The following is a 13,617-nucleotide window of genomic DNA, read 5'->3' on the forward strand; positions in this document are numbered from 1 at the left end:
AGATAAATAAGATACTGGTAGGCAGAGAAAATAGACAAACCCTCCTGGCATAGACAATAGTGTGAGCAAAAGTATCCATACAAGTTCATTCTCTCTCCCTGGAGCTCTCTTTCCCAGATGTCAGTGCCTCTCACCCCTCACTTCACTCGGGCCTCTCCTCAGATGTCATCCCACCAGAGACTCCTGCCTCATGACCTTTGTTAAAGTAACACTTTATCCATCACTCTCTTTCCCTTTGCCTGTTATTAAATGTTACTTCTTATTACTAACTTAAATATGTACCTAATTTTTCTCCTAATTTTTAGTATCTGTCTCCCTGACTTAAATATAAGCTCCATAAGACAAAGAAAATACTATTTTGTCCACTGTCGAAGCCTCAGATCCAAGAACAATATTTCACGCAGAGAAGATATTTACTAGGAATAATTTTTTTTAATTTGTAGGCAATGAAGTAAGTAGAAACAGGGAAGTATAATTAATTGGGAGCCTTGATTATTAAGGATAGCTTTAACTAAGGAGCATTCCCTTCTCTGGTTCAGCTCAATGAAAAAGTGAATACTTGATCACCATACACTCCACTTGGGAGAAACCCAGGGTTACTACCATCACTCCACCATAGAAGCTCTCTCTGCCCTAACCAAAAAGAGGCACTTCGCTTCTTGTAAGTTGCCAATCTCTTCACATTGGCAAATTCATTTATCTCCAAGCATACTTTTTTACTTGCAAATGGATAGGCCTTATGTTACCCGAAGAAGGTACCTTGGTATCTCAGGCAATGAACAGGGCCAGGGAGCCGCCAAAAGTCCCTGTCCTTTGTGTTAAGCTACCAGGGCAGGTGGAAGAGCAAAGCCAGGTGGGGGCTTAGGCAAATCTGCACTCTTGCTCCTTACATGCAGGCACAAGCATCAGACCCAATGGAGACTGGAGAGCAGTTCTCTGGGCACTAGGGAGACTTTCCAGAAAGGAGCACAGCTGCCTTTGCTGCACAGAAGAATCCACATGGGAAGTGGTGGGTAGCAGGTGGTAGTAAGCCCTACCCAGCTCCCGTGCATTTGTCAAGGTAGGTCTCACATTTGTAGAGTTCCACTAGCAGCAGCTTGCTGGGTTTTAAGCAGCCTGCACTGAGAACTCAAAACTGCCCCAGGCCACAAGCCTTCCCTGCTGAGATTGAAACCATAGATTTGAAAGCACACCCCTCCCCTTTGCCCATGATGCAGGAGCATCCAGCTCCTGCACCCATGGCTACAGCACACTTCCCACTCACCTCTCAGTTCTGGCCAAGGGAGTTTGTCTCCACTCAATATTATATCACATATCCTAATTGGAAGCTTCCCTCACTCTGTGACCATCACCCGAGTTAACTGGTGGACTTCTGCAAGGTCCTCTGTGAGATAGGACCAGTAATGGCTTTCCTCCATCCCCACTGGAGTCTGGGAGTGTACACAAAGCACATCCCCATGCCACTCCTTCTCATCTGCTCCCCACCACTCACTAAATCAGCTCGAGTGATGGCAAGGATTAAGACATTCCCCTGTGGTCTGGATTACCAGGTCTCCCAGAGGGAGCGTGTGTCACAGAGGCAGTCTCTCTCCCCTCACACTCTGGAGACTCACAGTTTTCTGCCTGGCTCATAGTGTAGGCTACAGCCCACCTCTTCTTTCAAAGGGTCTGTGGTTTATTTCAGTGTGTTCCTGTTAAGTTCCTATGTTGCCTCTTGGAAAATAGTTCGCAGCATGAATTTCTACACACTATTTTGTCTTTTCAGGTGGGTGAGGCATGCTAGCCGATGCCTCCAATCCAGCATTGAAATCATCATTCCTGATGCAAGTCAGTGTCTAGCTGTTTCAAAATGCTGAGAAGTTGGCTGGAATTCTACCAAAACTATATGTCAATGAGGTTAAAATTTTTATATATAATATATAACATATATATTTATAATTATATTTAATTCCTTCTTTCTAAGAATGTGGCAAACCGCTCTATTTTAGCTGTTTTAAAATATTTTTCAATATGTTTTTTGAATTAAAAAACAATACCAACAATCAGATATTGTCTAAAAATATGGCAAGATTTAGGAGCTGATAAGCAGAAATTTAGGGATCAAAGCTCTTCATAGAATTCTTGTGATGAATCAAGTACTTTTGCCTATATATCTGATTGGACTGCAATGGAAACAAGGCCTTGTCTCACTCTTAAACGCTCAATGGACATGAGCCATACATAGGCTCATAAGTTTTCAGACTATACTAACTGAAGACAGCACTGATAGGTTAAAAGATTTGTCTAAGTTTAGACATCTAATTAGACATAATGTTAGAAACCAGAACTCTTGTGGCTTCAGTAAAGCAATTCCAGCACTCAAGTCACTCATATCTAATAAATATGTATGTATGTGTCAGTGAGTGAATGGATTAATGAGTCTAAATTTTTCCAACAAGTCAGTTAATTCTTAACATGGGTTTTTGCAGATTTCTCACCCATACATATGCAAAAACTTCTTTGGACACAAGAAATTTAATCTCAAAAATATGACATAGATTTAGTGGCTTATAAATAAGCCTAGACCATACTAGTAACATTTTGACATATTGTTGCTTGGGTACAAGGCCCTTAAGTCCGTCAACTAGTCCCAGTTTCTTGGTCAATAAATAAAAAGAAAGCTTTTTTTATCTGATTATTTACAGGAAAGCCCACTTTAATCATTTTAACCAAATATAACCCATTATTGCTTATTATCCAAGTAGAATTCTCCCAACTATTCTTTAAAACTCTAAGCAGGAAATAGAGTAAGGATTAGGACTGCCAGAAAACAGTACTTCACCTTTGAATACACTTTTACACTTCTTTTAAGATGTAAGAAAATATAAAGAATATAAACTTGACTAACCAGCATTGTAAAGAGAAGCATCATAGCATCATATATATGTATATATATATGTGTGTGTGTATATACATATATATCATATATATGTGTGTATATACACACACACACACACACATATACACATATATGTATATGTAGCTGGGCAGCCGCACGTGTAGTCCCAGCTACTCTAGAAGCTGAGGTGGGAGGTTGAAGCCAGAAGTTCCATGCTGCAGTGCGCTATGACCATGCCTGTGAATAGCCTCTGCACTCCAGCCTAGGCAACATACTGAGATCCTATCTCTTACAAAGGGAGAGAGAGAGAGAGAGAGAGAGAGAGAGAGAGAGAGAGAGAGAAAATTACATTCCTGTCCTTAGCCTTTATTCACATCAGTAAGAGCACTTTGCTTCAACTTTCGGACCCAGTGATGCTTGAGCACATCATTTTTGATTATATGACTTAAAATGATGATTAGGAGAAGTCAGGAGTTAATAGGAGATAGGAATCAAGGAAACTAGATACTATACATATAGCAAGAGTCATGAAAATGACACAGAATACGTTTGGTTCCCATCACCTCTCTTTTACTTATTTGCTGAAACATCATGGATCAGTTACTTAAATTTCTCTGACATGAAGTTTATCCAATGTAATAAAGACACATTCCTGAGAGGACTAAATTGGCAATTTTTGTATATTTCAAGAATACTGTGAGTTTTAATACAGTTGCATCAGCCATATGTGAGTACTGAGTACTTGAAAAGTGACCAGTCTGAATTAAGATATGCTATATTTGTCAGATGAATCCTGGATATTTGAAGACTTAGTAACTAAGCAGCAAAATACATCATTTATAATTTTACATTGACTGCATGTTGAAATGATATTTTAGATATATATATATAGTTAAATCAAATATATTAAAATTCATTTTACTTTTTTTACTTAACATCGCTACCAGAATATTTGAAAATACAAATATTTATATTGCACAGCATTATATGAATATTTTGCCATTTCCCCTCCTAGACCAAAATCACCTTGACAGTAAGGGTTCTCTGTCTTATTTATCTTGTGGTCCCAGGATCTAGTAAAAATCCTGACACAAAGAAGACCTCCAATAAATATGTGTAAAATTTACAATGAGTAAAAATAGTAATTTTAATCAGGAGTTCTTAATGCAGTTTCCTAAAGAAGGATTACCGCCCTTATAAATATACAAACTCAGACCACATTTCCTTGGTTTCCTATCCCATTACTCAGATTTTCAAATAATACTTGTTCTGGTCTCACTGTTTCCCATAACTTATGAGTCAAAGGAGAAATTACAAGTAAAATTAGAAAACATATTGAACTAAATGAAAATTAAAATGCAACATATTCAATTTTAAGCAGTGTCTAGAAGAATATTTATGGCTTTACAAGGGGAAGAAATCCTAAAATTAATTATTTAAACTTCCATCTTAAAATACGGTTTGAAAAAATTAGAGCAAATTAAGCTAAAAATAAGCAGAAGGAATGGAATAATAATTTTAGAAAGAACAGATTCTACTGAAATAAAAATAGGAAAATGAATGTGCCCCAAAGCTTATTTTGAAAGAGCAGAAAAATTGATAAACTCCTAGACAGACAGTTCAGAAAAAAAAGATTCTACAATGAATATTAACACCAAAACAAGAGCCCATTACAAACAATTTACTGTGAATAAATTCAACATAAATACAATGAACAAATCCAAAACTAATACAACACATTAGAATAGAAGATATCTTAAATAATTCATGTTATTTAAGTTAACTGAGTCTGTAGTTTAATACTTTCCACAAAGAAAAGTCTAGACCAATGTGGCTCTAATGGTTAATTGTATAAAAAAAAAAGAAAATGAAATAATATAAATTCCATGCATATTGTTGCAACAACTAGAAGGGGAGGGAGTATTTTCCAATGAATTTTATGAAGCTAGCATTACTATGATAAAACATTGAGACAAAGACATTAAAATTAAAGTACAGATCAATATCTCTCATGAATATAGAAACAAAAATCCTTACGAAAATTTTAACAAATGGAATCCAAAGACAAAAAAAAATTAATACCACCTGACCAAGTGTACAGTTCAAAGATATTTGACAAATGAACAATTCTAGTAGTGCAAGTGTAGTTTAACATTAAAAACAATTAGTGTAATTCACAGTACTAATAGATGAAAAAAACAAAACCGTACAGTTATTTCAACAGATGCAGAATATGCTTTGTCAAAATGTAACACTTACTGATGATAAACAACAAGCACAAAACAGTAACTCATGGAAAACAACTTAACATTAAACTTAATGATGACAAACTAAATGCTTTCACCCAGGATCAAAGGAAAACTAAATATATGCATTTTCAACACACCTATTCAACATTTTCAACATGCCTACTCAACATATAGAAGGACCTAGTCAGTGGAATAATACTAGAGAATCAATATATAGCCTGTGGATAGAAAATGAAGCAAAAAAAAACTATTTTTACTTATAGATGAAATGATTCTTACAAATCCATTAAAAGAAACTAAAATTTAAAATGGGAAAACAAATGACCCTGAAAAAAATGCACAAATGATTCGTACAGACACAATACATAAATTGTTTTAAAAAAATCCTGAAATACGGCTCAGCACTATTAGTCATCAGGAAAATACGTATAAAATCCACAATGATATGCCATTATGCATCCATTACAACAGTTAAATCAGAAAGACGTACAATATCATGTGCTGGCGAATATGTGTAGCAGTCTTATAAATTTCTGGTGGGATTTTAAGTGGTACAACCTCTTGGGGAAACAGCTTATTTCAGTTTCTCAAAAAACTAAACATATACTTATCATATGACTCATCAATCCTATATCTATGCATTTACTAAAGAGAAATAAAAGGCACATATTCACACAGCTTCAACATGCATGTTCATAGAAGCTGTATTCATATAATCAAAAACTGGAAACAAATATCTAGCAATATGTGGGCAGATAAATACATTTTTGGTAATATCTAGATAATGGTTTATTATTTACCAATAAATATGAATGAAGTACTGATAAATGCAGCTACATGATAAATCTCAAAAAACCATTATACTGAGGAACAGAAACCACATATAGAAGAATAATTTTTTTTTTTTTGGCTCAAACAATGGAAGTTTATTTGCTCGTGGATCTGTTTATGTGGAATTCTAGAAAGGGCAAAACTAATCTATAATGTCAGAAAGCAGATTGGTTTTTGCCTTGTGTTCAGGGTGTTTGTAAATGTGCAGGGGAATGAAGGCAGATTTCACTGTAAGGATCATGAATAAATTTTTGTGTATATATTTTATATTTCAAATATAATGATAATTTGTCAAAACTCATTGAAACTTTCACTTGAGTATATTTTCTAATTTATAAATCATGCCTCAATAAACTCATCTGAAAAAAATAGGAATTGGTTGCTAGGGAGAGGGAATAGATATGAAAAAGTTACACTCATGAGAAAAGGCACCTAGGGAGGAACGCATAGGACATCTGTGGGAGTAGTGGCAAGTTCCATTCAATTGGAACAGAAGACAAATGAACAGAAATTGTTGCAACACAAATTAGAACACTAAATAGAGTTAGAACAGTGAAGGTCATAAACATCAGAATAAACATCTCAAACATTATTTGTAAACTGATAAGAATGCATCAATTTTTATTTGCCTTTCTCTGTTTTTCCTCACCTTTCCTCTCTTCTCTCTCCTCCTTTCTTATCTTTTTTTTTCTTTTTTAACATTTGGAGTAACATCCTCAGACAAGTAGATAGACAAGCCTCCAGCAAACAATGGGAGGAAGAATGCCATGATTCCTCCTTAAATTGTAGAAGCTCTCTGGCCTCTGCTGTGCATAATCTGCCTACCCATCAAATCACAAAATTTGTTTGTTTATATAATATCATCCTTTCTCACAGCTTTTATCAGCAGAGTTCTTAAGTTCTCAAGGGAACTGTCTATTTGAGGAACTATAAGGATTGGTCAAATATGCTGGAATACTGCAAAGGCTAAAAAAATGAGATTCTTTATAAGACTATGAATCCAGTGAACTAAATATTAGGCAAGACAACATTGTTTTATCCAGATGGCTAATTTGCATGACTCCGTTTAACACTTGATTTTTTTCCACACACATCTCCTTATTATAAAGACTGTTATAAGAAACACATTACCTCGTTTGGAGAGAAAAATACCTTGCAGAAATCTGGCAGCCAGATTTGAGTCTTGCTATTCATGTTTCTAAAATGAAGGCGAAAAGAGGTTTAAAGGATTTGGGACTTTGAAAAGGCAGTAGCTACTTTGGTAGCCTCCTGTGAATGGTCTTTTCTTAGATTAACAAGCTAGTGAAGTTTTAAATACGAGCTTTTTAAAATAAAGTCTTGCTTGAAAAGTTCAAGATCAAAATTCAGATAGTGTCTCAGTATCACTATTATTTCAAAGTTCAATTACTGTGTGTAATTAAGCATGTTTCAAAGGTTTTATAGAAAATAAAACATTTAGGTGATATGAAATTATAAAAATGTGTTAATATATGATATAAAAATATGATATCAATATAGCAATATAACTGTTGTTACTTTTAATTTCCCATCAAGCAGGGATCCCCAATGTTTGCCTTCAGTCTAAACACTACCAAAATTGTTTTCTATTTGTACATGGCACTCCTGATAATTATTATCTCTACTTAATAACTGTTTTAGCACATTCTTGTAATATCATTGTATCGCACTTGTAAGTGTAGAATAAGATGTCTAAAAAGTAGCACAGTAGCATTATCTGAAGTAGAGGTGAAGCAGCATCAACATTTGGTCATATCTCACACCCTCTCTGAAATACTCACTTCTGTGAACTTGAGCATTGCATGCCCATCATGGTTGCTCTCTCCTAGACAACTAAAGAAAAAAGAAAGTTAGTAAGGAACAGAATAGAAAATTTAATATTTGGGAATTATAGAGATCCACAAACCAAAGGAATTTGTTATTTATATTCTGTCAATATTCAGGCTGAAGCCAAAGAAATTGAGACAGATTTGAATTCTACTTCACTGAGTGTTGCTTAGGAAAGTCACAAACTCTCTTAACCTCAGTAGTATCACCTATGTAAATGATGTGTCAGATAAATCTATGAGAGAACTTTGTAGTATTAAACCATATTACACACAGCTACATGGTAACATCAACATTAACGAAAGGCATGAATATGTGGAGACTTGAATTTGAGTCCTGACAGCAGAATGTGTTAATTTTATGAATTTGGTTGGTTTTCTAAATTTCTCTAAGTCTCAGTTTTCTAATCACTAAATTAATGATAATAATATTTACTTCATAGAATGGTTGTGAAGATTAAGTGATGATCAATTTAAAGTAGCATGCAAAGTAGCTGTTTTTTCCTCTGAAGCAATTCTAAGTGTTGGACACCAGCACAAATAAAGTGACTCCCTCTTCTATAGATTCAAAACAAATGTAGACTCTACAAATATAAGGCAGAACAAAACAAAACAAAACAAAATTTAAAATATATAGTTGCAGGTAGTTTAGCTTCTCTAGTAACCCTAATAACTCTAATAATTACTTCTTCCACATGTTTTTGTTGTTGTTGTTTTAGGTCAGAATGAATACTCTCTCACTAATCAACCTGATGTTTTTCTTCAAAATATTCCAAAATAAATGCTACCCGAGTATGCAAAGGGACCAGTATGCAAATTCAATTCTGTATTCTCCGCAACTACTGTTTTTTTTTAAGAAATAGTTTTCAGAAATTTATCTATGTCCCCGAGTTAATCATTTCTTTACCCATTTCCTTCTGTTTCATATGCTCAGGAACCTAATGCTTTTTTCAATAGTTTAAAAATAATTATTTTCTACACAAAATAAACAACAATTACATGACCACCAAAAGAAGCTTTTAAAAATTCTCTTTTAATTAACAAATTGAGATCTGAAAAGTTTATAAATGATTGAAAAGTAAAAATAAGATATTATCTTGCTTAAAAAAATGAAGCAGCAGGCTGGGCACAGTGGCTCACACCTGTAATCCCAGAACTTTGGGAGGCTGAGGCAGGTGGATCATCTGAGGTCAGGTGTTCAAGACCAGCCTGGAAAAGATGGTGAAACCCCATCTCTACTAAAAATACAAAAATTAGCCGGGCATGGTGGCGGGCACCTGGAATCCCAGCTACTCAAGAAGCTGATGCAGGAGCATCACTGGAACCTGGGAGGCGGAGGTTGCAGTAAGCCAAGATCATACCACTGCACTCCAACCTGGGTGAAGGAGCGAGACTCTGTCTCAAAAAAAAAAAAAAAAGAAAAGAAAAGAAAAGAAAAGAAACAAAGAAACAAAAACAAACAAACAAAAAATGAAGCAGCCTAGAAGAAAAAATGACTTAATAAAAGAAATAAATGAAATAGAGAAATATGAGCCAAATAGGTATTATAACCCTAATATTTTCAATTCTATTTATATAATCCAAATATCAACAATATGCTCTTGTGATAAATCAGATTGAATTATCAGTGACAAGTGGAAGCTTTCTCTGCTGCTAAGTCACGACAGAACTGAAGCAATTTGTTAACTACACATTTTGATGAATTTCTAAAAACTGTTCTATTAATGTATTAACCATTTATAAAAGAGATTTTAAGGAAATATAGAATTTGGGTAAAGTGATCATAAACTTTTGAAAAAGAAACTCTTTTATTATATTAATATGCTTAAGAATGCAATAAAATAACTGGGTCGTAGGAGATCATCCTGGGAATATTATTATTATTATTTGACACAGATTCTCACCCTGTTGCCCAGGCTGGGGTGCAATAGCACGATCTCAGCTCACTGCAACCTCTCCCTTCCGGGTTGAAGAGATTCTCCTGCCTCAGCCTCCTGCGTAGCTGAGATTAAAGGCATGCCACCATGCCCAGCTAATTTTTTGTGTCTTTAGTAGAGATGGGGTTTCACCATGTTGGCCAAGCTGGTCTCGAACTCCTGACCTCGTGATCCACCCGCCTTGGCCTCCCAAAGTGCTGGGATTACAGGCATGAGCCCCGCGCCTGGCCAGGAATATTATTTTACCCAAGAGAAGTTTTAATCTGTCCTAATATCCACAGATCAACAGAATATGGGTATCAATTACTTAAATGAAGAGCTTGATAAGAATTTCCAAAAGGCATGATAGAAAGATAATTGTAAAGGGGGAAACAAAGAAAGATTGGGCTTAAGAATGATTAGTGGAGATCCAAGAGGAGAGCACTTTGTTTGGGGAATGTTATTCACGTCTACAGTAAAAATTAGGGAATTTCATTTGTAAACAGGATGGAATCTACCAGTGTTAATGGTAGTTGTCATGGATACAGTTAAGCTTTTCAAATCATCTGAAAATAATCAGCCTATACCTGTCAATGGAACATTAAGTATAGAGGACCAGAGAAGTGAAGACAAAAAATAAACCATTGGATATTTAGACACTATTCATTCCTAGATCATCAATGAAAGGTTATCTTAATTGCATGATAATTCAAAATTCTTAGTCTTTTAATGTAAATGTTTTTCAGCATTTGTCAAAAAAAGTAAGCAAAACATAAATTAATATATCTCTTTTATCATATATCTATTGACCCTATTCTAAAATAGCAAAATATACCCAAGTTATGGTTCTTCTTTCAAAAACCATGTTTTTGTTGTTTTAACTGAATTTTATATTAAAAGATTCTACACTATTTTTAAATCGGTTAGTTATCCAGTTGGGGAAATGAGGCACATCAACTTTTTACTGCTCCCTACTTTCTGCTCTTTACCACACAGAGCATGGCTAAGCTGCCATAATGAAAAAGACATAAAAGAACAAAAAAAGAGAAGTATGTGAAAAAAGAAAGAGAAGGAAGGAAGGAAGGAAGGAAAGAAGGAAGGAAGGAAGGACAGGGGAAGGAGGGGACAGGAGGCAAGGGGAGGGAAGGGAGAGGAGGGGAGGGGTGGGGAGGGGAAGGGGAGGGGAGGGAAAGGGAGGGGAAGATTAGACAGAGGAAATAAATTTATTTCTCCCTTGAAAGTGACATATAATCCAGAGTAGGTAGGCGGCTCTGCTTAGTGAGATCATTCAGGAACTCAAATTCCTTCTGTCTTCAGGTTTCATTGCTCCCCAAAGTTCTTTTGTGCACTTTTAACAAACTCCCAGATGACATCGATGCTGTTGGTTGGTGCATGGATACACTTTCTGTACAGGAATGTGACTCTGGACTAATAGAGTCGCAACTAGCTAATTAAAATCTAAAATTAAAATATCTTTAATGTCGCTGGCCACAATTCAAATACTCAATTCTCACAGATGACTGGTGGCTATCATTACAGACCTTGGAGACCAAGAACATTTTCATCAGCACAGAAAGTGATAGTAAGAAGGCTGATCTTGAGTATAGTGTACTTGTATAATTTATTATCTTTAGTGACCAATTATTACTATATTTTACACTACTGATACTTTCTAGATTTGGCTAGAGTTATATTTCTTATGTCTTGCTAACAGAAACAAACAATGTTATTCTCATAACTACTTTCTAACTCTCAACTATCATTATATCAAAAGATCTTCCTGAATTTTATGTGGACAGATAGTCTTAACTCTTTGTTTGTATTCCTGAGACCAAGATTTCCCTTGAATTGTTTTTCTACTCTAATGATTTCTTATTTTGTTTCAGTTATTTATTTAACAAACATTTTAAATGCTTACCATAATCATAGTTAATATCTACAAAGACTTTAATATACGCCAAGTATTATAAGCCTTTCACTTTATTTCTGTCTTAAAATTCTTACATCAAAATTAAATATATTATTTTCCTCATTTGACAGATAAGAAATCTAAGAGATCTAAAGAGGGTAGATACGATTTGCCCCCCACCCCACCAAAAAATAAAAAACAGTTAATGTTTGAAATGTGATTCAATGACAAAACTTCATAATCCACCTATTTAACTACTGTGATATTTCCTTTATGCCAGCTATCTTGGTACCTTTACCCTGACTATGAGAAGAAGGGAAGAGGAAGAGAAAACAAAGCATCTGCAAGCTCAATAAGACATGATACATTATCAGGGGATAACAAACAAGCTCATCAATGCTACAGAAATAGGAGTGAAAACTAGTAAATATCTCTACATGTATAGAAACTCAGAAAACATAGTTTAATGATGCACAAACTAAAGCACTTGGGTCACTGACCCAGAGGAATCAAGGGACTAATTATCAACTTGCACATGGGACAGTGATTGCTGCAAACAGAAACCATATTGTCCTGTAGTAACTAATGCCAAAAAGGAATCAGACACACCAATATCCTCTCAACTGGAGAAGAGGCAGGCAAGTAATATAAAAGAGAAAGCCGGGGAAACAGATCTATTTGTAGAATTAGCCCTTTAGAAAAGTAGATTAGAAGAGATAATCAAGCCATGCAAAGTTCACAAAGTCTTCTCTGATTTGGTCAAGTCAGAATTTGAGATCTGAACTAAAATCTGGTCCAAAACCACGGAGTGTAGGAAGCCAATGACAGATAAAATTGGGCTTAAGGTAACAAACTTACCACCGTAAAATCCTGACCAGTATTGAGAAAGTATAGAAAAGGATTCAGCACCCAAGTGACAGAGCTTCAGACATTGTTAGAGTATCACATCTGCAAAAAATAAAGCCAAAGTTCTAGGTAAGGCTTCAACTACGACGACGAGCAACTGTAGTGCCAGGCAGAGCTGCTGAGGCAGAGCCTCAGTCCTCTGCTCCAAGGTGTGGGGCAGAGGGCCATGCAAGTTTGGGACTCTCAAGGCCAAGCGAATGTTCAAGGGTCACATCATAGATACTGGACAACTCAGATATTTGGCAATAAAATGTATCCTATACCTAGCTGGTAAGGTTGGAACTCCTTATATATACTCCTTGAGTAAGACAGGGACTAATTAGTCTGACTCTGTGTAGAGCCCAAGACGGTCTGGGGAAAAGCAACAGTTGGCATTCTACATTACACAAAAGTTGTCCTGACCTCTAATTCTGTCATCTACAAAATTCCTCTGACTTACGTATTACTTGTCAGTCACTGATAAACTGCCTTAACTGTCTTTCTTGCATAAGCTCTTTAAAGGAAAACTAGTATTCATCCGTATATTTTCTAGTAGTTTTTTTTCTCCTTCATACCCATAGAAAATATATTCCTTATATATAGATCACTCATACCCTGAAGTATATCTACACAGATTTTTAAAATACTTATTGTGTCTTCTTAGTAAAAGTCTTTGTGACTTAGGTCATATGACTTTGTTTCAAAATATAAACAATCTCCATTTACAACAGTTAATGCTATTCCAAAGATTTACTTAGGTAGTTACATTTAGTGTATATTAAATTTTGTTTTCTGATTCCTGGATTTGTTATATTTCTTTACAGGATATTCTCTTAATTTTTGAAAGCTATTTCCAAGCTCTTCTTCTCTAAAAATTAAGAATTCACACACAATGGTTTTATTTCTATGGGCTTTTTTTTTAAAAAAAAAATAAATGTTGTTGTGTATATGCGACACTTATAACATGATATTATGGGATTCATATAGGTAATAAAAGGGTTGCTATAATAAAGTAGATTAGCATATCTATCAGCTCACATAGTTACTTTATTTGTGACAAGAACAGCTACAATCTACTTATTTAACCACAATCCCTAATAAATAT

At 35.1% G+C, this 13,617-nt stretch overlaps 1 long non-coding RNA gene across 1 annotated transcript, besides 1 other annotated feature; it reads right to left on the bottom strand.

The window, feature by feature from the left end:
- Positions 1,147-1,361: a silencer, noted in NCBI's record as "fragment chr7:89179295-89179509 (GRCh37/hg19 assembly coordinates)". NCBI's record gives its function as "represses an EF-1alpha promoter that drives an FKBP-Casp9 reporter gene in an ReSE screen in K562 erythroleukemia cells {active_cell/tissue: K562}" and the evidence as "EXISTENCE:reporter gene assay evidence [ECO:0000049][PMID:32094911]".
- Positions 7,011-12,571, bottom strand: LOC107986817 (uncharacterized). The gene is made up of 3 exons (XR_001745266.1): positions 12,486-12,571; positions 7,758-7,809; positions 7,011-7,156 (listed from the first exon to the last, which is right to left on the bottom strand). It is a non-coding gene; the product is annotated as an uncharacterized LOC107986817 (long non-coding RNA).
- Positions 12,572-13,617: the final 1,046 nt, after the last annotated feature.

Source organism: Homo sapiens, chromosome 7 (genome assembly GCF_000001405.40).
Source record: "Homo sapiens chromosome 7, GRCh38.p14 Primary Assembly".
NCBI classification, from domain to species: Eukaryota; Metazoa; Chordata; class Mammalia; order Primates; family Hominidae; genus Homo; species Homo sapiens.